The sequence below is a fragment of the Homo sapiens genome, chromosome 16, assembly GCF_000001405.40.
Source record: "Homo sapiens chromosome 16, GRCh38.p14 Primary Assembly".
NCBI lineage: Eukaryota > Metazoa > Chordata > Mammalia > Primates > Hominidae > Homo > Homo sapiens.
In genome coordinates this window covers 17,174,139-17,201,449 of record NC_000016.10, presented here as the reverse complement: position 1 = coordinate 17,201,449, position 27,311 = coordinate 17,174,139, and the positions used below count along the sequence as shown (strand labels likewise).

At 46.1% G+C, this 27,311-nt stretch overlaps 1 protein-coding gene across 3 annotated transcripts in view; it reads left to right on the top strand.

Moving 5' to 3' along the window:
- The window catches only part of XYLT1 (xylosyltransferase 1), a 369,192-nt gene that overhangs the window by 269,511 nt on the left and 72,370 nt on the right, over positions 1-27,311 (top strand). For all 3 annotated transcript variants that reach the window (XM_047434458.1, NM_022166.4, XM_017023539.3), the window contains 2 exons: positions 796-968; positions 3,036-3,238. In XM_047434458.1, the coding sequence (XP_047290414.1) occupies positions 796-968; positions 3,036-3,238 (376 nt within the window). The remainder of the gene's footprint in view (positions 1-795; positions 969-3,035; positions 3,239-27,311) is intronic.

Sequence of the window (27,311 nt, the reverse complement as noted above, 5' to 3'; positions counted from 1 at the left end):
AACAAAAGTCTAGCATTCTGTCTTATTGGTTAATTAACTTGGTTGAGTCATATGTTCATCTCTAAACAATACTGTGGCTATGGAGAATCAGCATTCCCATTGGCCAGGCCTAAGCTGTAGGTCCACCCCTGAAATTGATGATGAAGTTAGGTCTTCCCCACCCATATGGACTAAGAATAGAGGAGAGGAGGATGATGCCACAAAAGGTATTGGATGATGAAGTTTCAGTCATGCAGGACAAGTAAATTTAAAGATCCTGCTGTACAACATTGTATTAATAGGCAGCAGTACTGTAGTGTACACTTAAACATTTATTAAGAGGGGAGATTTCATGCTATCTGTTCTTACCACCGTTAAAACAAACAATATATTGGATGCTATTAGAAGAAGGGAGAATGAATTCTGGACAGGCAAAAACAACACATGTATCTTACGTTCACTAACTCGAAATTAACTGCTTCTTCCTCTGTCATTCAGAGATACATCTCTTATAGCTCTCACCTCCTCCTGCCTTGTTCAGTAGCTTAATATGTGTCCATGTGTCTCTTCCAGCATTTTTAAGCTCCTCAGAATGGAAACTATGTCGTAACAACCCCAGGGTCCCCTAACCCCTTTTGTGCCTGACAGTGTGAGAATCTAAGATGTGCTTTGTGGCATTGAATTATGTTTTAAGGCCCAATTTGATGACTGTGCCCCTAAAATAGTCCCCAAAAGAAGCACCAGAGAAACTTCCCACCCCTGCAAAGGATGGCAGAGCCTCACTTTCTCCTCTCTGTTCTCTTGGATTTTCCCCAGGTAAAGCCAACAAGAACGTGCAGTGGGACGAGGACTCCGTGGAGTACATGCCAGCCAACCCGGTCAGAATCGCCTTTGTCCTGGTGGTCCACGGCCGTGCCTCTCGGCAGTTGCAGCGCATGTTCAAGGCCATCTACCACAAAGACCACTTCTACTACATCCACGTGGACAAGGTGAGAGGCCTCTGTGATCACCCCTTGCTGGGCTTTCTTCGGGGTCTGTCCGTCCCTCCCTGATACCCTCCTTCTGCATTGCTAGTCCAGACTGCCTGCTTTCAGAAAAGGCTTGGAAGCTGACCAGCTGCCTCTCCACAGAGCGTGTGGCCCTAGAGTGCTGTCTCTATGTGTGTGTTGGTTTCAAAGTTTCCAGCTGCGACTTACAATTTTGTCCATAAATGATAAATGCTGTTTTTGGGGGGTTTTTTTTCTTTTTTTTTTGATGGAATGTCGCTCAGTCACCAGGCTGGAGTGCCGTGGCATGATCTCCGCTCACTGCAACCTCTGCCTCCTGGGTTCAAGCAATTTTCCTGCCTCAGCCTCCCAAGTAGCTGGGACTACAGGTGCATGCCACCACACCCGGCTAATTTTTGTATTTTTAGTAGAGACAAGGTTTCACCATGTTGGCCAGGATGGTCTCGATCTCTTGACCTCGTGATCTGCCCGCCTCAGCCTCCCAAAGTGCTGGGATTACAGGTGTGAGCCACCGTGCCCGGCCCCTAAATGCTGTTTCTTACCTCTCCCCTCTACCCAATGCCCTCTGCCTGCCTCTCACATACTTTGTGGGAATAGCTTACCTTTATTAGTCCATTTTCATGCTGCTAATAAAGACATACCTGAGACTGAGTAATTTATAAAGAAAGATGTTTAATGGACTCACAGTTCTAAGCAGCTGGGGAAGCCTCACAATCCTGGTGGAAGGCAAAAAGCAAGTCTTACATGGCGGCAGCAAGAGAGAAAAATGAGAGCCAAGCAAAAGAAGTTTCCCGGTGTAAAACCATCAGATCTCATGAGACTTATTCACTACCACGAGAACAGTATGGGAGAAACCACCCCTGTGATTCAGTTATCTCCCACTGGATCCCTCCCATAACACGTGGGAATTATGGGAGCTACAATTCAAGATTAGATTTGGGTGGGGACACAACCAAACCATATCACTATCCCAGGAGTGCGTACACTTTTTCTATGGAAGGCAAGATAGTACATATTTTAGGTGTTGCAGGGCACATAGTCTCTGTCACAGCTACTCAGCACTGCCCTTGTGCTAAAGCAGCCAAGGAGAACATGTCAACAAATGAGCATGGCTGTGTACCAATAAAACTTTATTAACAAAAACCTGCATCAGCCCTGCTGACTCCCGAGCTACCTTGTCCCTGAGGTTTCTATTGGTGAAACAATTATGCCTTTAGTCAAGAAGGCAAAGGGGGAAGTCTTGTCCAAAAGGTCGGCTTCTAGCAGACCTGTGAGAGGATAATGGAGGAGCAATCAGTAGGAGTGGGGACAGAAAACAAAAATTCTGCCTCCGAAATATACATGGGTTTAGATGGAGCCATATTTCCCAGCTTGTCTTCCTCAGACCCCATGCAGCTGTCATGTATATGAATGCAAAGTTGGCCAGGTGCAGTGGCTCATGCCTGTAATCCCAGCACTTTGGGAGACCAAGGTGGGCGGATCACCTGAGGTCAGGAGTTCCAGACCAGCCTGTCCAACATGGTGAAGCCCCATCTCTACTAAAATACAAGACTTAGCTGGGCGTGGTGGCGCATACTTGTAATCCCAGCTACTTGGGAAGCTGAGGCAGGAGAATTGCTTGAACTTGGGTGGTGGAGGTTGCAGTGAGCTGAGATGGCACCACTTTGTTCCAGCCCGGGTGACGGAGCGAGACTCTGTCTAAGTAAATAAATAAAGCAAGACTCCATCTCAAAATAAAATAAAATAAGATAAAATTTTAAAAATGTGAAGTCCCAGGCACCACCAGCCCAAGCCTAGTGAACCATTAGCTCAGAAGTGCGGCCAGTGAATCTGCATTTCAAATAGCTAATTTGAAATGTAAAAAATAATCCAAGTTTGAATTGCAGTACAGAAAGACACTCCAGTCCAGGATCATTTACTTGGCAAAGGCCACTGTGCTCAGAAGTGCCCAACCAGGAGGGAAGACACAGAGAGGGGACAGGGGTGAGGGGCATGCCTGGGTATTTTCTAGGCCACTGACTGTCATCACCCTTTCTCTCCTGGGAAAAGCGCTCTAATTACCTGCATCGGCAAGTGCTCCAGGTCTCCAGGCAGTACAGCAATGTCCGCGTCACCCCCTGGAGAATGGCCACCATCTGGGGAGGAGCCAGCCTCCTGTCCACCTACCTGCAGAGCATGCGGGACCTCCTGGAGATGACCGACTGGCCCTGGGACTTCTTCATCAACCTGAGTGCGGCCGACTACCCCATCAGGTAAGGCAGCCAAGGGCCCCAAGCCAGTCTTGTCTGACGTCCTGCTCTGGCTGGTCATGGCTGGGAACTCACGAGGCAGAAGGAGACTGATGCATAGTCTCCACAGGATCGCTCAGGATAGGATTCTGATTGGACCTGAGAATCATTGATTCATTCACTCATTCATTCATGCATTCAACAGATAGAGACTGAGCACGTGGTTTTCCCAGCTCTATTAGCTGATATGCCAGTGCACTAAACAGACGGAAACTCCAACCCGCGTGGAGCTTTATATTAGGGTTCTCTAGAGGGACAGAACTAACAGGATAGGTGTATATATAAAGAGGAGTTTATTAAGGAGTATTGACTCACACAATCACAAGGCGAGGTCTCACGATAGGCCGTCTGCAAGCTGAGGAGCAAGGAAGCCAGTCTGATTCTCAAAACCTCAAAAGTAGGGAAGCCCACAGTGCAGTCTTCAGTCTGTGGTCGAAGGCCCAAAGATCCCAAAGCTGAAGAACTTGGAGTCTGATGTTCAAAGGCAGGAAGCATCCAGCATGGGAGACTCAGCCAGCTTATTCCTTCCACGTTCTGCCTGCTTTTATTCTGGCCACGCTGGCAGCTGATTAGATTATGCCCACCCAGACTGAGAGTGGGTCTGCCTTTCCCAGTCCACTGACTCAAATGTTAATCTCCTTTGGCAACACCCTCACAGACATGGCCAGAAACAGTACTTTGCATCCTTCAGTCCAATCAAGTTGACACTCAATAGTAACCATCACAAGCTTCCATTCAAGTAGGGAGACAAACAACAAAATAAGTTAAATGATATCTTAGAAAAATAAAGTAAGGGGCAAAAGTAGGGGACAGTTGTAATTTTACCAACGGTGGCCTGGAAGGTTTTCACGGATAAGAACAGAAGAAGATGAAAAAGAGAGTCACGCCTACAGAGAAAGTGGTCCAGGCAGGGGCAAAGGCAGGGGCTGAGCCCAGAGGTGGGTCCATGCCTGGCCTGTGCGAGGAACAGCAGGGTTCAGTGGAGCTGTAACAGAGTAAGTGAGGGGTAGCATAACAAGAGAGATAAAGTCAGAGAGTAATTTGAGGCCAGATCGTGGTGATCCTAGAATTTGGCTGTTAGTCCAAGCAAGAGGGAAGCCACTGGCATGATACTTTGAATGATATTCTGAACGGTATATATATCTATATATATATATATATTTTGGAGACAGAGTCTCGCTCTGTCACCCAGGCTGGAGTGCAGTGGTGTGATCTTAGCTCGCTGCAGCCTCCACCCACCAGGTTCAAGTGATTCTCCTACCTCAACCTCTGAAGTAGCATAGAGATGGTGTTTCACCATGTTGGTCTCAAACTCCTGGCCCCAGGTGATCCGCCTGCCTTGGCCTCCCAAAGTGCTGGGATTATAGGTGTGAGCCATCGTGCCAGGCTGTTATTTTCTCTTGAGAGGGCAGCTTTTTCCTTTGACTGTGTTTTCCATCTGGATTTGCTGACAAGGGTGAAAAGGAAAGTGGATGGGGGTGAAGAGGGGGATCTTCCTCCCTCTGATGGCATGAGGCCATAGGGTTCAGCATTCCCAGGAGACCTAGATGAAGGGGTCCTAAAAAAATAAAACTTTTATTAAGGCAACTTTCAAACATGCACAAGAGTACCAAGAGAATAGTGTAATGAACTCCCACGTGGATGTCACCCAGGTTAATTCATGGCCATTGTTCTTGTATCTGGACTTTCATCCTCTTCCCCCAACAGTGGGTTATTTTGAAAGAAATATAAGATATCACAGAATTGTATCTATAAATATTTCAGTATATATCTAGAAAAGATAAGATCTCTTTTTTAAGACAGCATCACAATGATGCTTATACCTAAAATATTAGCAGGCATGTTTTAATGGCATCAAATATCTAGGTCACATATTCCCAAGAGTTTGAGTTTTGAATCAGAACCCAAACAAGGTACAAGCATGGAAGGAAGACCTACCTCTCTTTAAAGCTAGAAGTGGCTGCTTTCTTCTTCACAGCTTGGTCACTGGGGGTCTTCTTCATTCCTAGGCTTGGGGGCATCCCACCATCTGCTGGGAGACCCTAGACTGCAGAAGGTACTGGGGAGGCACAATCTCTGGTCAGTTTGAATGGGGTACACCTGACATCCTTGAACCTGAGAAAAATGACAGGCACTAGAAAGACAACTGTTTTCTTTTGTCCATAAGACAGAGGGATAAACGGGAATGGTTATAGAACATTGCTGGTAGAATTTTACTTACCACAATTTTGTTCATTTGTTCAACAAACATTTACTGAGCAACTACCGTGCTACATTCGAAGTAGTGCATTTTGTGAACAAAAGTGATGCAGCTTCCTGTACTTCTCCTCTGCTCATGGAATGTGTATCCTAGCTGAGAAGATGGAGTTAGATGATCATGCCAAAGATACATCATGCAAGGTGTGAACAAGCCATAAAGCAAGGAAGATGTGGGCCGGGTGCAGTGGCTCACACCTGTAATCCCAGCACTTTGAGAGGCCAAGGCAGGTGGATCACAAGGTCAGGAGTTCAAGACCAGCCTGGCCAAGATGGTGAAACCCCATCTCTACTAAAAATACAAAAATGAGCCGGGCATGGTGGTGCGTGCCTGTAATCCCCCCTACTTGGGAGGCTGAGGCAGGAGAATCGCTTGAACCCAGGAGGTGGAGGTTGTAGTGAGCCGATATCGCGCCACTGTACTCCAGCCTGGCGACACAGCAAGACTCTATCTCAAAAAAACAAACAAACAAACAAAAAACAACAAAAAAAAAGGAAGATGTGGGTGTGGAGAAAAACTCGAGGGCCATAAGCAGGAGGTCAGAAAGGCCTCTGAATATTCAGCTTTGAACCGAGACCTAGAAGACAAGAAGGGATCCATTGGGAGGGAAATAAGAAAGAGATCCTTCTATACTGGGATTCCTAGCAGTGGCACTGCTGATGTTTGGGGATGGATAATTCTTTACTGTGGGTGCCATCCTGTGCATTGCAGGATGCGTAGCATCATCTCTGGCCTCTACCCACTAGATGCCAGGAACACACCCTGCCCACTTTTGCCAACCACAGATGTCTCCAGACATTGACTCGTGACCTCTGGGAGCTAAAATTGTCTCCACTTGAGAATCACCGTTTCTTATAGAGGGAACAGCCTGGGCACAATGTAGCACAGAAACAAACTTGTTGCGTTTGAGAAATTTAAACAATGGATAGAGTATAATAAAAGAATGAGGAGAAGTGAGTTTAGACAAGTACATGGCAAGGAGGGGTTAGAACATTCCCTCTCCATCTTCCATGAAGGGACCGAGTTTGGAAATGTCCCAAAATGCTGAGCATAGCAGCTAGTGTGGCAGACACTTGTTTCAACCCTTACAACAAACCTGTTTTACAGAGGGGCAAACTGAGGCCCAATGTCATGTGATGAATGCATGGCAGAGTGGGGATTAGAACCAGTTTCGTCTGGTTGCAAAGTTGGTATTCCTTCTGGCTTTTAGTCGGCCTCTTAGGGAAATCAGCAGAACTGGACTGGCAGGATGGCCCCAGGCCACCTTGAAAGCACAGAAGGAAACAGTCCCACCCCATGAGCTTGTGGCGGGGTGGAGTAGTGGCTGGACTGCCTGCAGCAGGGATGTCCAGGATGGTCCTGGGAGGACCCCCATTGTCTGTTCCTCAGTCTTAGGGGCTGTGCTCAAAGTTCCCACATTCTTCCTTCTCTGGATTCCCAGTGGAGGCCTCAGAGGTCATGCCAGCCTAGGTTGGGGGCCCGCATTAAGCCCAAGACCACTTGAGGCCAGGTAGGCATGCGCATTGCTGCCCCCTAGAGGCCATTGTTGGCTTGCTTTGCGTGGCCACCTCCCCTAAAGAGTCCAGCTCGGCTCAGCACCCGGGAGGGTGAGTGCCTGCACTCTCGTCAAACTGCTTACGGCTCGAATCTGAGTTCTGCCACTTAGCTAGCAGCGTGACCGCGGGCAAGTAAATCCAATTTCTGTGAAATCAGGATACAATAATAGAACCTAGCAGCCTGCCGGACACTTGGAAGGTGCTCCATGAATGTCAGCCATTTATACGTAAGGTACATCCAAGGTCTCATCTTGTATCTCTGAGAGGCCCAGAAATCCTTTCTCAGGCCATGCGTGCAACCTATTTTGGGGTTCAGAAAAGAGAGTTGTCTTATTTGTGGCTTTTTTGCTTTAGTGCCCCAGGTCACTCTGTGTCTCTTGGCCTTTCTCATCATCTTCCTCTACTTCACTGATCTCATTTCCATGGTGCCTCCCACGAATTCCTTTGCCCACTCTTCTTTGCCAGCCTCATAGCCAGAGGCACTTTATGCATCAAGCACTGCTGGTTCCTCTTGCTGTTGTTTTCATGAAGTTGCCCTACACAAAAACATATGAATTTTGCAGATGAATGGTTTCATCCTGGGCAATGCTGATAGGTTTTCAGTTTCCATCTGCCGCCCCATCTGTAGCTTCCAAAACCACTACTTCTCCCATCCCAGAAAGAATGAGCAAACTTAGGAGTCTTCTCAAAGGGGCGGTAGTGCCCAAGTCAGGCACTTCTAAGAGGCACTGAAAACTTGGGGGATACTTAAGGGTCCAGCCAGCCCGACGTAGCCACTGTGAGCTGCTCTGTGATTTGACGTCACCTCCCTGTGTCCCCTGCACAACCCTCACTGTGGGGGGTGGGGGGGTGTGGGCAGATTCTTCCTCTCTTAGATATTAAAGATGCACTGGTGTTTACTGGTCACTAGCCTTGTTTAGGCCCTGGACGCAGACATCCTGGTTTCAGATTCTGCCCCACCACCAACTGGGCAAGTTGCTTCAACTTTCTGCATCTCAAATTCTCTACCTTAAAATAAACACAATATTAGTGCCTATTTCGGAGGGTTCTTAGGAAGTTTCAATGAAATCTTGCATGATAAGGACCTACCACAGCGTCTAATGACAGAAAGTGGTTGATAAATGCCCAAATTACTCCATGGCTATAAGTAACTGTGGGACTTGAGTTACTTTCCCTTTTCTCTTTGATAGAGTTAAAAGAGTAGCAAAGTATTTCTTGAACTCACATCTCTGTCAAAAGAGGGAAAAGTGGGCCAAGCACGGTGGCACACAACTGTAATCCCAGGACTTTGGGAGGCCAAGGCAGGTGGATCACTTGAGGTTAGGGGTTCGAGACCAGCCTGGCCAACATGATGAAACCCCGACTCAACTAAAAATACAAAAATTAGCCAGGCATGGTTGTGCATACCTGTAACCCCAGCTACTCATGAGGCTGAGGCATGAGACTCACTTGAACTCGGGAGGCAGAGGCTGCAATGAGCCGAGATCGTACCACCGCGCTCCAGCCTGGGTGACAGACTGAGACGCTGTCTAAAAAAAAAAAAAAAAAAAAAAAGGGTGGGAAAAGCAAAGATAGACGTGAGACTGTTTCAAGAAAAACAGAATAGATCCAATTCACTTGTGGACATGAAGAATATTCCTGAACTTGGCATACGCAAGCTGAGAGTGTTTAGAGACTCTAGGTGCTCCTGCTCTGCTGTTGACATGACATCCTGGTCCACGTAGGCTCCAGCTGGAGCTGGTTGTGTACCCAGCACGTGGATGAAAGTGGAAAATGGATACTTTCAAACTCTGAGGCCCTGCTAGATCTTGAATCCTCGAAAGGTATGATGGTTTTATTCGTATGTTCTATTTACCGAGGCAAGGAATTATACCTGGCCTACTTTAGATTGGCTGCAGGAAGAGATGAAGCCAATAGCACTTTGCCCTGTTTCTTGGCTTGGACTTGTAGTAAGAGACCTCGGCTGGGTGTGGTGGCTCATGCCTGTAATGCCACCAGCACTTTGGGAGGCCAAGATGGGTGGATCACCTGAGGTCAGGAGTCTGAGACCAGCCTGGCCGATATGGTAAAACCCCATCTCTACTAAAAATACAAAAAGTAGCTGGGTGTGGTGGCGGGCGCCTGTAATCCCAGCTACTTGGGAGGCTGAGACAGGAGAATCACTTGAACCCAGGAGGCAGAGGTGGTAGAGAGCTGAGATCATGACATTGCACTCCAGCCCGGGCAGCAGGAGTGAAACTCCATCTAAAAAAAAAAAAAAAAAAAAAAAAGAGAGAGAGAGAGACCTCACGCCTCACACTGTGTCTTTTCCTAAGTCCGGTGTCTTGGGGCAAATCAGATGTAAAGAGAGGAGGGTTGAGTGTGTCCTTGGCCCCTCCCGGGGTTCACATTCAGTCTGTGGTGTGTACACACGTTTGCACATGTGGGGCAGTGTATGTATACAGAAACCAGGCAGGGGAAACCATGTTGACATTTTCCTGCTACTTCTGCCTCTTGGGTATCCACATCAACAAAGTCCAAACTATCAGGGCCCACCACATGGACATGTAAGTTACATTAACTGCAGATCCAAATGTCTGTCTTGAGATACTACCAGAGCCGCAGGCTGAGAACATGAGAGAGCTGCTCCATGGCGCCTCAGTAGGAAACACCAGCTGGTAAAGACAGGAACAGGTGGCCAGGGCTTCTCTACAGTCTCCCGAAGACCAGAGTTTATATGGGACCAATTGAGCAAGACTAACCCCCAGACTAACAGAGCAGACACTTACTGCACACCTACTGTGTGCTGGGCCCTCTTCAGGGCCCTTTACCACATATTTCTTCTTAATCCCATCCCCCAAAACACAACTGCTACTTGGTAAGTAAGTTTAGAGAAATTAGTATTAACACAGAGCAGAGGAAGCTTTGCAGGGAAGTCAAGCCCTTGATAATGTTCAGCACAGATCCCAGTCACTCTGGGATTTGAAATGAAGATGAGCAGTATGGAAGTCCAAGCATCCATGTACAGTCACTGCATCTGCGTACAGATCACATCCCTTTAGTCTGCTAAAGTGGAACCCGAATAGGTCAAAGAATTCCTGTAGTTAAGACCGCACAGCAACCACAGCAAATGTATATGTAGCACTTCGTACATTCCTAGCATTATTCTAAGTGCTTTACAATTCAGGGATGTCTGAGGGAGAGAATACAGTTATGGCTCCTCAGTTTCTTTTCTTGGTTGGGCCAGTAAAGCCCCTTCCTCATCCCTCTTTTCTGCTTATCACTAGAGACAGAAACTAAAAACCATGGCTTCAGGCTGCTAAAAGCCTAAAACAAAAAAACAAAACAGAACAACCAAATAAGGCAGGGTTGGACAAGCTTGTTTACATCGTTTTGACAACAACTCTGAAGTATGCACTCTTGATATCCCCATTTTTCAGATGAATAAACTGAGGCACAGAGATGTTAAGAAACTTGACCCCAAGGCTACAGCCAGTAAACTGTAGAATCATGATCCTTTTTTTTTGAAACTGAGGTGAAATTTATATAACATAAAATTAACCATCCCATTACTGGGTGTATACCTAAAGGATTATAAATCATGCTGCTTTAAAGACACATGCACATGTATATTTATTGTGGCACTGTTCACAAGAGCAAAGACTTGGAACCAATCCAAATGTCCATCAATGATAGACTGGATTAAGAAAATGTGGCACATATACACCATGGAATACTATGCAGCCATAAAAAAGGATGAGTTCATGTCCTTTGTAGGGACATGGATGAAGGTGGAAACCATCATCCTTGGCAAACTATCGCAAGGACAAAAAACCGAACACCACATGTTCTCACTCATAGGTGGGAACTGAACAATGAGAACACTTGGACACAGGGTGGGGAACATCACACACCGGGGACTGTTGTGGGGTGGGGGGAGGGGGGAGGGATAGCATTAGGAGATATACCTAATGTAATTGACAAGTTAATGGATGCAGCACACCAACATGGCACATGTATACATATGTAACAAACCTGCATGTTGTGCACATGTACCTGAAAACTTAAAGTATAATAATAAAAAGAAACTGAGGTGAAATTTATATAACATAAAATTAACCACTTTGAATTGTTGAATGGCATTCAGTACATTCACAGTGTCAGGCAACCGTACGCTCTCTAATCCTAAACATTTTCATCATCCCAAAAGAAAACCCTGTACCCATTAAGCAGTCACTTCCCAGAAACCTCTCCTCAGTCTCTGGCAACCACTAATCTCCTTTCTGTATCTATGGACTTGATTTGCCTATTCTTGACATTTTTATTTATTTATTTTGAGATGGAGCCTCCCCTCTTGTTGCCCAGGCTGGAGTGCAATGGCACGATCTTGGCTCACTGCAACCTCTGCCTCCCAAGTTCAAGAGATTCTCCTGGCTCTGCCTCCCAGGTAGCTGTAATTACAGGCATGCACCACCACACCTGGCTAATTTTGTATTTTTAGTAGAGATGGGGTTTCACCATGTTGGTCAGTCTGGTCTCGAACTCCTGACCTCATGTGATCTACCCACCTCAGCCTCCCAAAGTGCTGAGATTACAGGTGTAAGCCACTATGCCCAGCCTATTCTGGACATTTTATATGAATGCAGTTACATAGTATATGACATTTGGTGACCTGCTTATTTCACTTAGCTTAATATCGTTGAGGTTCATCTGCATCGTAGCATGTGGCAGCACTTCATTCCTTTTTATGGCTGATATTCTATCATGTTGATATACTTGTACCACAATCTGTTTATCCAATTATCAGTCAATATACTCAGCATTCTGAAGCTTCCCAAAGCCCCTGTCTCCTGGCCATGTTGTATCTGCACTGTATGCCCTGAATTGAGGACCTCATCTGGTTTAAGAAGATGCAGCTCCATCATATGGGACTCTGCCCAGCAGTGGTGCTGGAGGACTCTTGTTAAGCAAGCCCTGGTGACTGTTTGGCCATGGGGGGTTGTAGATCTGAGCATATTGGCCTGATGGCCTTTCCCATTCACACCGGATCTTCTCTACCCATGCTAGCCCCTGGACCTCAGCTGAACGGGAAAGAAACTTCAGTGATTCTCATTGTCCGGGGAAGATTCAGGTTGAAGATGGAAATGTGGAGGAGTAGAGTGTGAGGTCCAAGCTTCCCTTTTTCCCTTCTTCCTTCTCTCAACACCAAGCCCCTTCTGATGACAATCTTGGGGTGCTTTGAGGAGGAAAGTGCTTAGGTCAGCCCAGTGAAGATACTTCTCTACTCCCACAGATGAGTTCAGGAGACAGGGCTCCTTCTGACTTTACCCATTCACCCAAAAAAATATTTATTGAGCACCTACTATGTGTTGGACACTGTGCTAAGCAGCAACTCAAAGGTGAGGAAAAACATATCCAGCCCTGCCCTCATCGTAGTGGTCAAGGGTACAGGCTGGAGCCAGTCCACCTGGGTCCAAATCGCAGCTTCTTTATTTACTAGCTGTGTGAAGTTGCACACAGCAGTCCCTGTGCTTCAGTTACTTCATCTGTAAAATGGGCATAATAATGGCACCACCCCATAGGGTTGCTTTGAGGGCTAAGTGAGTCCATATATGTGAAGTGCTTAGCACACAGTGAGGGTTATCCATGTGATAGCCATGGTTATTAATAGAGGAAGGAGACAGACATTAATCACAGAGATCACAGGAGTGCACATATGACAAAGTCAGGCAAGCATTGTGAAAAAAAGGAATGAAGGATCTATGAGCACTTTGCAAAGGAATCTCACATGGACTGAGGGCCCGGATGGCTTCCCTGAGGAGGCAGCCTGTGAACTGAGATGTAGATGCTGGGTAGGAGTTTAGGAGAAGTGTGAGGAGGTTCCAAGCAGGCATCCCAGGAAGAGGGGGTAGCTTGGGACCCTGGCATATCTGAGGATCTGAAAGAAGGCAACTATGGGTGAAACATAAGAGGCGAGGGTTTGCCTTCTTACAAATGAGGTAGGTCGAGGCAAGCCCATGTGGGCACTTGAGATGTCCTGTTGGGTCACTAAAGCCTCAGTCTGTGAGCGGTGAGGTTTTAGGGGAGAGTGACAATATTTGCCACATTGAGAGATCGTACTGGCTGCCGTGGGAGAATAGTTGGGAGTGGGGCCCAAATGGGAGTGGGGAGGCCAGATCACAAGCAGTTGCTTCTACTGACCCCAGAGCCACATCCACAGAGCCCCCTATTCTCCAAACCTCCAGGCAGAAGCAGGTGTCCTAGAAGGAAGCCATAAGGAGCTTCCTGAACCCAAGCAGCCATGAAGTCTTTTAGTCACTCAGAGCCAGGCAGCCACCTTCTGTTTGGGGACCAGGACCCCACACCTGTGCAAAACAGCCTCGTTCAGGAGACTCAGAGGATTTCAACAGGAGCTGGAGCAGAGAACAGAGAAGCAAGCGTGAGATGCAAGGATCTTAGGAGAGCGGGTCAGAAAAAAGCCAATCATAAGCCAACAGGGGCGCAGCCAGAGGATTAGAGGAAGAATGTGGGTTGAGTGAATGTGAGAAAGAATATGGTGGAGACCCCTCTTTGTCTTTTGTTCTTTTTTTTTAAAGTGATAAAATATGGTGAGAATGATAAAATAAGTGAGAATTGCTTGAACCTGGGAGGCGGAGGTTGCAGTGGACTGAGATCACGCCATTGTACTCCAGCCTGGGCAACAAGACCAAAACTCCATCCCAAAAAGAAAATAAGAAGAAAGAAAAGAAAAGTGATAAAATACACTTAAAATAAAATTGACCTTTTTAATCTTTCTTTTTTTTTTTTTTTTTTTTTTGAGACAGCGTTTGGCTCTGTCACCCAGGCTAGAGTACAGTGGTGCGATCTTGGCTCACTCTAACCTTTGCCTCCCAGGTTCAAGTGATTCTCATCCCTCAGCCTCCCAAGTAGCTAGGATTACAGTTATGCACCACCACATCTGGCTAATTTTTTTTTTTTTTTTTTTTTTTTGAAACTGAGTCTTGCTCTGTCACCCAGGCTGGAGTGCAATGGCGTGATCTCGGCTCATTGCAAGCTCCGCCTCCCTGGTTCAAGGGAATCTCCTGCTTCAGCCTCCCGAGTAGCTGGGATTACAGGCACGTGCCACCATGCCTGGCTAATTTTTTTGTCTTTTTAGTAGAGACAGGGTTTTGCCTTGTTGGCCAGGCTGGTCTCGAACTCCTGGCCTCAAGTGATCTGCCCACCTCGGCCTCCCAAAGTCCTGGGATTACAGGCATGAGCCACCACACCTGGACTGATTCTTCTACATTTTAGAAGAATCCAAAATGTCTTCCTATCCTATATCAGTCACCCTTCTGGTTCCCCCATTTCTCTGAATAGGACCACCCTCCTCCTGAGCACCTGCAGCTGGAAGCCTGTGTGCCCCCTTCCTTGCTGCTCCATCTGCACCTTGCGTATTCTCGTTCTAACCCTGACATCTCTCCGTGTTCATCCCCATCTGTGATGCCCTTCATCCCCACCCAGGTCAGACCCTCTTCACCTTACACCTGCAATATTAGCACAGGTGTGCTCTGACGGGGACTCCAAGGTCTCCCAGGAGAAGACAGGCTGAGCCAGACTCTTAAAACAGGATAGAGCTGCTTCTCAAGGCCATTTCCTGAGCACCCGTCATGCGTCAGGCTATGGGTGTTCCGCAGGGAGCAGGACAGACACCATCCCTGCCACAAGGAGCTTGACATCTCACTATGTGCTTCTCAGCCGGGTCAAATCAAGGTTCTATGTGATTCTCAGAAATTCAGAGTTCAGCAGGCGCAGTGGCTCATGCCTATCCCAGCACTTTGAGAGGCCGAGGTGGGAGGATCACTTGATCCCAGGAGTTCAAGACCAGCTTGGGCAACAAAGCAAGACCCCCATTTCTAAAAAAAAAAAAAAAAAAATTAACCAGGTGTGGTGGTGCACCCCTGTAACGCCAGATACTTGGGAGGCTCAAAATAAAGAAATCGGCTGGGCATGGTGGCTCACGTCTGTAATCCCAGCCCTTTGGGAGGCCAAGGCAGGCAGATCACCTGAGGTGAGGAGTTTGAGACCAGCCTGACCAACATGGTGAAACCCCGTCTTTACTAAAAATACAAAATTAGCTGGGTATGGTGGCACATGCCTGTAATCCCAGATACTCGGGAGGCTGAGGCAGGAGAATCGCTTGAACCCAGGAGGTGGAGGTTGCAGTGAGCCGAGATCGCGCCACTGCACTCCAGCCTGGGCAGCAAGAGTGAAATTCCGTCTTAAAAAATAAAAATAAAAAAGAAATCTAGAGTTCCGTTCCAGATCAACTGAATGTAAATTCCTTGTGGATGCCAAGAATCAATTTCTCTCTCTCTCTCTGTGTATATATATATTTGAGATATTTGAGATAGAGTCTTCACTCTGTCACCCAGGCTGGAGTGTGGTACAATCTCAGCTCATTACAACTTCCACCTCCCAGTTCAAGTGATTCTCCTGCTTCAGCCTCCCAAGTACCTGGGATTACAGGCACTCTCCACCACATCTGGCTGATTTTTGTATTTTTAGTAGAGACAAGGTTTCACCTTGTTGTCTAAGCTGACCTCAAACTCATGACCTCAAGTGATCTGCGCACCTCAGCCTCCCAAAGTGCTAGGATTACAGGTGTGAGCCACTGCACCCAGCCAAGAATCTATATATTTTTAAAGTGTCCAGCACCCTGCAGGTGATTGTACTAGTGAGAATTGAAATCCACTGGTCCAGGGAGAGAGAGAGACATCTTTCACATAGTTAGAAAAATAAATAGAAGCTACATGCTGTGTTGGAAAATGTTAGCCTCAGTACTTCGTGGGAAAGCATACTTGGTGGCCCAACACTCAGATATTTGGGTGTGACCATCTCCCCTGCATTCTGCTTTCTCAGCATCCAAACCACTTTTGTTCTTTGGGACGTTCAGAGACACACACTCTGCTTCCTGAGACCCCAAAGTTCCTGGGTTCGAAACCATCCAATAAAACCTCCACCCAGATAATGTGTGAGTTTGAAAGGGTGTATCTGCTCGGACTGTTGTTCACAAGGAGACTGGAAAAACATGCCAGTAATTATGCCGTTAACAGTTTTGTTTGCCTCTAGTCACAAAATAAACATATCCTCAGCCCTGTTATTTTTCAGGCTGATGGAGCACACACTCCTGCTTTTGCAGAAATGCAGTTTGCTTCCCTCTTGCCAGTTGTCCTGGGTCTCCTGAGCTGTATTTTAGGCTGGTCAGCTCTTTAAGCCTTCTTAAGGCCAGAAGTGACCTAGACCATCGGCTGGACAAACAGAGTGAGCCTAGAGTTCTCGGAGATCTCATGAAAACCAAGGTTCTGCAGAAAGCCAAGAGTGGTCTATGGGCTTAGGACCTTCTGGGAAGGATGTGGTGGAAGACAAGAATTGAAGTGACTGCTTCACCCAAGGGATGCCATCATCTGGCTTAAATAACTTTTAGTTGTATTGTTTGTTTGCTTGCTATTTTGTTTGCTTTCTCTTTCTTTCACAACGGAAAACAAAAAAAATTCAGAGTCCTGGGGAAAAATGTGATAGTTCTCTCTTGAGTTGTGTATCCCTTCTTTGGCTAGCAGAGAATAGAGCACTTGGCCATTCATCCATTCATTAAATAGATGCTCATTGAGATTCTGCTAGATATTAGGCAATGCTCTAGACCAGCACTGTCCAGTGGAACTTTCGGGGGTGATGGAAATGTTCTATAAGCACCATCCTGTATGGTAGCCGTTAGCCACAGGTGGCCATTGAGAGCTTGAAACGTGCCTTGTGGGACTGAGGAACTAAATTTTCAATTTGATATGATTTTAATTTAAAGTTAAATTAAAACTGTGCGCTCATGAACCTTACATCGATGCCATGGGGTACAAACACTTCCACTAGAGAGAATTATACTACTGTTACCAGAAGAAAAGAGAGTCCAGGCTAAATAGTACAGAAATAAATGTGGTCTCTGTCCTCTGCCAATTTGATATTCTCACCAGATCCCAGCTTGACCACACAATGAATTTTGCAATGTATTTTCTTCCGAATCCCTCCCTCTCCAGATCTCACAATTCTCCTTCCTCTTGGCAGCGGCTCTCTATGTGTCTGTGGATGGGACGTTTCCAACCCTGGCATCTTCCTGCCCAGTGCATTGAGCATTTTTGCTTATTGGCAAAAAAAAAAAAAAAAAAAAGCCGTCTTTTATGTGACTTTTTCTCCGGTGGCCAAGAGTATGGACGGTATCCATGCTGGGATGCTCCAAGTGCATCCTGGGAATTTGGATGTGAGCCCGGGGTGGTCTACAATGTGGGTGGTCTTTATTGTAGAGTCTATTATTCTTCCCTTGCCTGTTCCTTACATCTAACTGCAGGTGAAGATTCTTTTCAAGGGCAATCTGGAGGAACCGCATGTATTAAAAGTGGGATAAGGGAGGAGCGTTTCTACCCTTTTAAAAATTGATGAGGGCAAAGATTTGACTGAGTATAGGATCCAAGCGACAGGGTTAAGGTCTGATCATTAGGCACACAGACGGACTCTGTGGATTATTCTTATTATCATTCAAGTATTTTCTCTCCCTTGCTCCCACCCTGAGTCATTGTCCAGCATGGTCAATAGTAGCCACTCAAAGTAGATGCCTGGGAAAGCCTTTTAAGACCTGCCATACTCCAGTAGCTAATCATATTTGCTGACATTTCTTGACTACTTACTGTGCATAGGATTCTAGGCCAAGTGATTTCCATGCATTATCTCATGTAATTCTCACAACAATCCCAGAAGGTAGATAGTGTTACTGCATCGCAGTATGAAGAAACCAAGGCTGTGAGAAGTAAAGGGATTTTCTCAGTGTCTCACAACTGGTGGGGGTTGGAGCCAGGATTTAAATGCATGCTTCTTTCATCACGGGGAGTAGGGGCAGAGAGGAAAGGACCTGAGTTTTTTGCCAACGGGTCATAATTTCACCTGCTGGATAGTTCTGGGGTAAAGCTCTCTCACTCATTTCTTCCCCATCTAAATCCTTGGTTTCTGTATCTGGATGAGAATCCAGGAGGCAGAGTTGTCCACGTATCAAGAGATGAGCAGGGTACATCAGAACCTGAGATCCAGAGTGACCTAATGTTTAGCCAACTGCCAAGTTGCCCCCACTTTCTGCTTTAGTCCCCATGGCATCCCAGTAAGATGACATATAGAACAGCACCAGGACTCAGAGTGTTCAAGTGACTTGCCCAACGTCACATGACTTGATCGTGGCCAAGCTGGGATTTGAATGCAGGCTTAGCTGACCCTGAAGTTCACCATGCTTTATGCAGTGTGTTGTGTAAGTGGTTGACCCCAGGGAGGGAAAGCCGATCACCCAAGGATGCCAACACTACGATGTGGCTGCCAAAGCCAAAAGCCAGTGTAGACCCATCTCCAGATGGTCTCTTTCTTTCTCTAATGGAATATCCAAGCTTTACTGACTGTGTGCTCTAAGCATAGACCTAGGAACCATCTGTCCTGCGTTAGCAAGAACAACCCCAACCTTCAAATTCCTTTGTAATCCTGTTCCCATTGGACCTCAGACTCTCCATATCTCTACCCTAACTGGCTATCTGGTGGTGCCCAGTGGAATTCTCATTCATTTAAATATTAGCCTAATGCAAGCATAATTAGAAAGGAATGGCTTCTGTCCCTCCCCCCACCCCACCCCCCACATATGCCTAATTGTTTCAAAGCAAAATCAAAGCAAACTCAAAGCAATGCTGGCATATTCTACACCATCAAGTCATTCCACTACGATGTAGAAGAGGCCATGCAATATCAGCCTGACCTGGATTTGAATCCTGTTGCTATAGATTGAACCGTGCCCCACTAAAATTTATATGTCGAAGCTCTAACCCTTGTACTTGGAGATAGGGCCTATAAGGAGGTACTTAAGGTAAAATGAGATCATAAGCATGGAGCCCTGATCCTATAGAAGGAGTGTCCTTCTTTATAAGAGACACCAGAGAGCTCGCTCTCTCTTTCTCTGCCATGTAAGGACAGAGCAAGAAGGTGGCCTTCTGCAAGCCAGGAAGAGAGGCCTCACCAGCATCTAATTGACAGGCACTTTGGACTTTCCAGTCTCCAGAACTGTGAGTAAATAAATCTCCATTGTTTAACCCACCCAGTTATGGTGTCTTGTTATAGCAGCCTGTACAGACCAAGGTACCTGTCCTCATCCCCTGTATGAGAGCTATATGCTCTCAAGCAACAAATCCAACCTTTGTGAGTCTCCTTTTTCTCACCTGTGAGAGGGCATGACCATGCTACCCATCAGGGAGCGGTAAAAGGAAGAATAGCCAGGTGGGACTCCAGGTACTGCTTTATTTCAAGCTGTTTGATGACAGCTAGGTCAGAGCATGGTGGCTCAGGTCTGGCAGCTCCATGTGACCTCCTCTCCACCTTCTCACCATCAAAACATTGGGACCAGGATGCTTGGTCATACTGATGGATACAAAGCAAGGAGAGATGGTTGAATCCACCAGGGAGACCTTAGCTTACTGTACCCACCCCGTTGCATCAAGCGGTTGGGGTAACTCATCGTGGCCCCAAGAGGCTTAAGTACCACCCAGGCCTGAGGCAAGAAACATTAAAAAAAAAAGAAGTGCAATTCATTTGGGAGGAGGAAGGGTTCACAGAACAGATATCTAGCCCACTAATAACCATGTCTCAAGCAATCTCTCCAGCACTAAGTAATCCTACCCTCAGTTCCTCCCTTTGGGTAAATGTAGGAGAGAGATGGGCAGAGGAGAACCTGCTATGGGCAGCAGGCTAGAGTGCCCTCCCCAGGGTACTTTCCTCATAGGATTGTTAGAAACATGAAAGATAGTGGAACACAGGACCTAATCCGGAATTGGGCATTTTTTAACAAGGAAATTTTTTGATGATAATGGTAGTGATGACAATGATAATTAATAATCCTGTATAGTTATTAATTCTGGACAAAAACATGGTCTGGCCTTGTGTGGTCACTTTCCTTATTCTCTCCTTCTTTCTTCCTCTTATATTTTATGTCTCTATTCCTTGTACTAATACAGAAATGCAGATTGGGCAGGGGGCACCTGCCTTTGAGGAAGTCTGATCGTGATGAGAGTGAGGAAGGTAGTTGCCTTGAGCTGAGCCTTCTTTGCCTGTAGTTGGGCCCCCATATTCCCTCCCTGCTGCAAGGCTGTTTGAAGACAGCCCTAGTGTTTACTGGCCTTCTCTACCCCAATGAGGTGAAACAACATATTCCATTTCTCAAGTCCATTTCTCCACTTACTTTGAAAAATCAAGTGCATTTCTCCAGTTACTTTTTGAATGCAACTGCAATCTACCTGAAATTTCAAGTGGGAAACTTCCTTCCAATTCCCAGCCTCACCAACCCTCACCCCATCCCCATGCTCAAGTGGCCTGCCTCTGACCCTCCCCTGGTGGCCCCAGGCAATATCAGAAAGTGATTTGGACATCTGGGCAGGTCAGCTTCCTAGGAAATCATCATGGAACAGAAGCCAACGCAGAGAGCAAAGTCTTCATGGTTCATGAGACTCCCCTGCTGCCTCCTCCCACTCCCACTCAGCTTAGGTGAAGCAGGCCCATGAAGGTCAGATGGAGTGTCTCTAGAACCTGGAATCTAGTCTTGGCCCACTGCCTATAAGACCAGTTAATCCAAAAGTGGAGAATGGGAAGGGGAAGGCCATTTGGTAGTACTGGCCAGTTTTCCCATGGTAGGGGGTGAAGGGGAATCCCACAATGGTGGTTGTTCCCTTATGGAGAAGGAATGAAAAACTGTGCCCCTAAAAGCCATCACCCGTCTCCTATGTCCTTTCTCCTCCAGGGAGGGATTCTCCTCAGTGCAATTTAATTGTATTCATCAGTCAACATTACTTGGCAAACCGAGCCAGGGGCACAAACATTGCCACCCTTTCTCAGTCTAATCATGCTCTTCAGGATGCCGGAATCTGGTTTAAGGCCAAGCAGAAGCAATTTTTGATTACAGAGTCAATCTTTGTTTAAAATTTGCCACCCTGGGGAAGTTTCCAACAAGTTACTTTAAACAATGCATTCTCTGGACACCTACAGCTAAATAGTCCCATTAATCCAAATTGCTTTGCTGGGTTGTGGTGCAACCATTCAGGAATTGGGGCAGTGTCTCAGACAGGCTTCATGACAGTGATGGCTGCAGTACCAAGGGGGCACTGCTTTGTCATGAACTGAGCGACCGGGAGATGGCCCCACCCCTGAGAGTTCCCTGCCACTGAGTTTCTGCAGGTGCTAAGTGCTTCTTCTATGTTCTCCTTTAATCTCTCAGCCATCTGGTGAGATGGGACCTTCATTGTCCCCATTTGCAAGAGAAGGGACTTGAGCAGATGCTCAGCTACCCAGAAGTGGAGCTCAGTGGAGCTTAAACCCACCCATGTCCTTAACAATGAGTCAGGACTTCCCAAGTATGGCCTGTGGGCCGCTTGCAGTATGTAAGATGATTTAAAGAGAAATGCAGGCGAGTCTTTGAAAATGTCCATGTTTATCTATATTAACACATAGAAGGGAATAGGAACATGTTCAGCCCAGATTTTGGAAGCTGAAGTTTCCTTAAAAATAAAAAGTAAATAAATAAATAAAATGAAAGTTGATTTAAATGAGAAAATATTAACAAGGCAACAATACAAGGGGTAAGTGGCTCTTCAGTCATTTGGCAAGTACTTATTGAGTGCCTGGTATACTCCAGCCATTTTGCTGGGGGTTGGGAATATGGCAGTAAAGAAAGCAAGCACTGTTGTGCATCCTCCATGCTCATTAGAGAAAGAGACAGTAGATAAGTGAGCGGGTCATATATCAGGTAGAAATGAGTACCAGGAAAACTATTGCATGGAAAGAGGATAGGGTGGGTCAGGAAGACACTTCGATTAGACGGATATGCCAGAAAGTTATGAGGAAGATTGTGAATGACCCAAAAAAGAGAGTTATCAGGCGAGGGATCAACAAACTTCTTTTCTAGCTTTTATTTGAGGTTCAGGGGTACATGTGCAGGTGTGTTACATAGGTAAATTGTGTGTCCTGGGGGTTTGGTGTACAAATTACTGCATCATTCAGGTGATAAATGGAGTACCTGATAGTTTTTCGATCCTCACCCTCCCTGCCTCCTCAAGGAGACCCTGGTGTCTACCCTTCCCTTCTTTGTTTCCGTGTGTACTCAATGTTTAGCTCCCCCTTACAAGCGAGAATATGTATTTGGTTTTCTCTTCCTTTGTTAGTTCACTTAGGATAAAAGCCTCCAGCTCCGTTCATTCAACAAACTTTTTTTTTTTTTTTGAGACAGGGTCTCATTCTGTCACCCTGGCTGGAGTGCAGTGGCACAGTCACAGCTCACTGAAGCCCTGACCTCCCAGGCTCAAGTGGTCCTCCCATCTCAGCCTCCTGAGTAGCTGGGATTACAGGCTCATGTCACCACACTTGGATAATTTTTGTATTTTTGTAGAGACAGGGTTTTGCCATGTTGCCCAGGCTAGTCTCAAACTCCTGGGCTCAAGCCATCTGCCTGCCTCGAGCTCACAAAGTTCTGGGATTACAGGCATGAGCCACCACGCCCAGCCTCAAAAGTTTTTATTAAAAGGCCAGATAGTAAATATTTTAGGTTTTGTGGTACATATATGTCTCTCAGGATGACGAAACTCTGCTGTTGTAATACTAAGGCGGCCATAGACAGTATGTAAATGAATGGGTATGACTGTGTTCCAGTAAAATTTTCTTTCTAAAAACAGGTGGCAGGCAATAGTTTGCACTTGATCATTCTGCCAGATCTCCCATGTTTCAGATCGTGGCCTTGCCCAGAACACGTACATCTCAGCCCTTTCAAATTTAGTGCCAACCCACTCACCCATCTTCCTAGGCATGGCCTTTGCTTCACTATCTTAGATGATTCTGTCAACCCAGGTGGGGTTGAATCTGAATCACCTCAAGTGCTTCAGACTTCAGGACCCTGGATAGAGAATGAGTGATGGAGATCCCCAAGGCCTTCTGCTCTACCTCCCCTAGGCCTTGACCTGGATTTCTACCCAGTCCTGGGTAGCTGAACCCCTTATTAAACAGCAGGCTCCCTTTATTTTATGTTCCCCTAACCTACTTCGTGTGCCATTTCTGACCTTGAGCTGGTAAGGAGCACATGAAACACAGCTCACCCATCAGTGTTGCCTGACCAGGGGCGGCCGAGAGGAGACAGGCAGTTTGCACACAGACAGTCCTCCATGGCTATCCAGCCCCGCAGAGTTCCTGCCAGCCAGAGCATACCGGTTTTCTTACCACCCAGCCTTCTCTGCCTAAACGCAGGATAAATACCTGGTCCTCATTAGCACCGTAATTCACCCTGCACCACCTTCCTCAATCTGAATCAAAAAGGTTAATGTCATTGAATCCTGAGACTCGTTGATTTCAGCACTTACCCCAAGTTTCTGCTCCCCCGCTAAAAGCACAGAGCTCGTTTATCTTTCCTTGGTTGACCAGGCAAGTTGCTGACTAATGCCTTAATGCCAGCTAATTCTCAAAGATTTCCCAGAGTGACTGGACATGTGTTCCTCTAGTACTTTCTATAAATCCAGTTGATCTTGTGTGTCTGGTTTTCTACTGACTCACTGCCTGGATGTGTCTGGGCTCCCCTCCTGTAATTTATCTTGGAAGTCTGTCTCAGGTTGCAATGTTAATTCAGGAAGAGAGAGATTTTTAACCAAGGTGGTGTCCGCAAAATACATTTTAATGAACTATCAGCTGTAGGGCGTCACTGTGAATTTGTTCATTCATTCATACATTCTAGTCAGTCAACAGATGCTTGTTGGAAACCTACTGTGTGCCAGACATTTGCCAGGACCTGGGGTTACAGACACCAATAGAACCATTAACATCGCTGCCTTTGAGGAATATACAGATTAAGCCATCAAATAATGACATCTTCATGACATTGTCAGGAAAGAAATTTGCATGCATATAATGCAGGAAACAGACATGCATATCACCCCTTCTCTTCTAAAGGACCAGGGAAAGCTTCCCTGGAGAAGTACCCATCCCATAACCACGTCTCAAGCAATCTCACTGGCACTAAGTAATCCTACCATCAGTTCCCCCTCCTTTTATGTAAAACTAAGAAGGAGATGGGCAGCAGGCTGGAGTGCCCTCTGCCCAGTGGTTTCCTGAGAGTTGAAAGAAGAGGAGGAATTAACTGGGTGAAAAAAAGGGGGCGGTGAACATTGCAAGCAGCAGGGGCTGCATGCACAAAGGCACTGAGGCAGGAGAAAACATGGCTTCTGTGGTAAATGAAAAGAGGCTTATGTGGACAGAGTGTGGCAAGGGGATAAGCCAATAGAATGAGGCCAGAGAGGCAGGTGGGGGCCAGACCGTGTGGGACCTTTAGAGCCAGGTTAAGGAGTCCAAGCTTATCCTATAAGCAATGGGAAGCCTTTGAAAAGTTTTCTATTAGAAAATGCCATGATGAGATTGGTTCAGTTTATAATCAGTTGCTTGGCAGTGGGAAAAAGAAAGTTAAAAAAAAAAAAAAAGTAGAGGACTGTACCAGCCTGCTGGAGGAGGGGAAACATGATAGCTAGTATTTTTTGCTAGTAGATATGTACATTATAGCTCAGGTAATTACTTTCCACCAGGCTAAATGCCTCCTGTTGCTTTGTTGCTATTATTTTCTCTTGGTGTTGAGCTTTTCTGCAGCATACCTTATTCTTAGGCTTCGTGGCCCTGGGTTTCCTGGAGAGACCCTGTAAGCTGGATCTGGAACTGGACCTACAAACCTCCTTCTGCTAGTCGGCAGGAATTTTCCAGGGCTCAGGCCCTCAGGCCAGTGCAGCAAAGCGGTTGAAAGTGTGCACTTGAGGAGGCAGCAGAGCCTGAGTTCAATTTCCAGCTGTTCTGTTTACTGGCCACGTGCCCTTGGGCATGTTGCTCAACCTGTCTCTGCCTCAGTTTTCTCATCTGTAAAATGGGAACCATCAGTTACCTGCCTCAGCCTTTACTGTAAGGATGAAGCTGTGAAATGTGTAGCACCTTGCCTGACCCAGAGAAAGGGCTCGAGAAACGATGATAGTGATGGTGACCCAAGCTGCCCGGGTGACAGTTCCACAAGTGGAGAGATGACATCTGTTTTGCTCACCACTGTGTCTTATTCCTGGTACAGTGCCTGGCACATAGTGAGAGCTCAGTAAGTACTTACTGAAGTAAGGCATGAAGGAGCAAATGAGTGCTCAGTGTTTGTCCCATATAACACCACTGTGGCTGCAGTGGCTGTGGTCCTTTATTTCTAAGTGCCAGGAGAGTCACTGATATTTTACCGCATTTTTTTTTTGCATTCCCCATTTATTAAAAACATCTCTGGGCTTATTCCTAGATTGAGGACCAGTGGAGGGGTTTTGTCTTTACTTAATGTCTTTTCACCTAGAGACGTTTTCAGATTTCACCACCATGAAAACAGAAAACATTCCAAAGAGCTGGAGAGTTTATTTCAAAAGGACAGTGAGCTGTGGTAGGTACTCATGAATCCTAAGGTTGGCTCAGCTGCTTCTCCACATAAAGTGGAGGTGCCTGCACAGATATCAAGGATCTGTGTCTGGGAGCCTGGCAGGCCAGAGGGACATTCACATATCACACCTGTCTGGCTATATGCTGGCTTCCATGCAGCCTGGGGGAAGGTCTGGATCCCATGAAGTCACTTGATGTCATGGAGCAGATACCTAGTCTGTTCCCATTTTCCATGAGAGAGGACAGGGAGGTAAGTTCTGCAGGTGTCCACATTCCTTCCCGGCTCCATGACCACGCCTGCGGGCTCCAGTGGTGATGCATATGGACTCTGAGGTCAAATGACCTGGGTGCAAATCCCTGTTTCTGTTACCTGTGGGCTGTCTAACCTAGGCCAAGTCACTTAACCTCTCTGTTCATCTTCCTCTGTAAAATGGGTGATAATGATAATATGTACATCATGATGATGTTGGGAAGGCAAACTGAGCCGATATGTAACAAGTGCCTCAGCAAGCAACTCTTATATTCTATACTTATTATTGTTATGATCATCATGATTATTAGACACGTTGCCCAAGTTTTGAGAAGTTTGCTCCATTGTAAAATGGAGCTACTGCTGCCTATTTTAGGGGGGTTGTGAGGATTAGGTGGATAGCGTATATAAAATAGGTAGGATACACCAAACATGGTTATTATTGTAGCTGTTGTTTTATTTCTCAGTTTGAAATTTTGGGGTTCAACTGTCATATTTTTATTGTGGCATAAAAATAAAAACATAAATAATAACATTAAAATATGTTGGCTGGATGTGGTGGCACACACCTGTAATCCCAGCAATTTGGGAGGCCAAAGAGGGCGGTAACTTGAGGTCAGGAATTCGAGACCAGCCTGGCCAACATGATGAAAGCCTGTCTCTACTAAAAATACAAAAAATTAGCCAGATGTGGTGGTGCATGTCTGTAATCCCAGCTACTTGAGAGGCTGAGGCAAGAGAATCGCTTCAACCCAGGAGGTGGAGGTTGCAGTGAGCGGAGATCGCACCAGTGCACTCTACCCTGGGCAACAGAGTGAGGCTTCATCTCAAAAAACAAGTTATATTTAATATGCCAAAAATAATATACAACTGAAATTAGTGGCGCTTAATACATTCACAATGGTATATGAGCATAATCACTATCTAGTTACAAGCATTTTAGTTACCCCAGAAGGAAAACCTGTACCCATTAAGCAGTCACTCCTCATTCCCCTCTGACCCCCAACCCCTGGCAACCCCCGGTCTGCTTTCTGTTTCTGTGGATTTGCCAACTCTGAATATTTCATATAAATGGAATCATACATCATGTGGGTATTTCACGTCTGGCTTCTTTCACTTAGCATTATGTTTTCAAGGTTCATCTGCATTGTAGCTTGTATCAGTACTTCATCTCTTTCTATGGCTGACTAATATCCCATTGTCTGGATAGACCTCATTTGGCTTTATCCATTCAGCAGGTGATGGACATTTGGGCTGTTACTACTTTGGGCTATTGTGAGTAGTGCTGCCATGAATAGCATGGCCAAGTTTTGTTCGAACACCTGTTTTCCATTCTTTTCAGTATTACAATGACTCTTAACATATGTGGTTCAGCTACTTTAGAGAAAAAGGGAAGAAGTAATAAGATAAAGTAGAAAAACAGAGGAATTTCAGCTTCTGTAGATGTATATCTTTCTTTTGTGTTTTATTTATTTATTT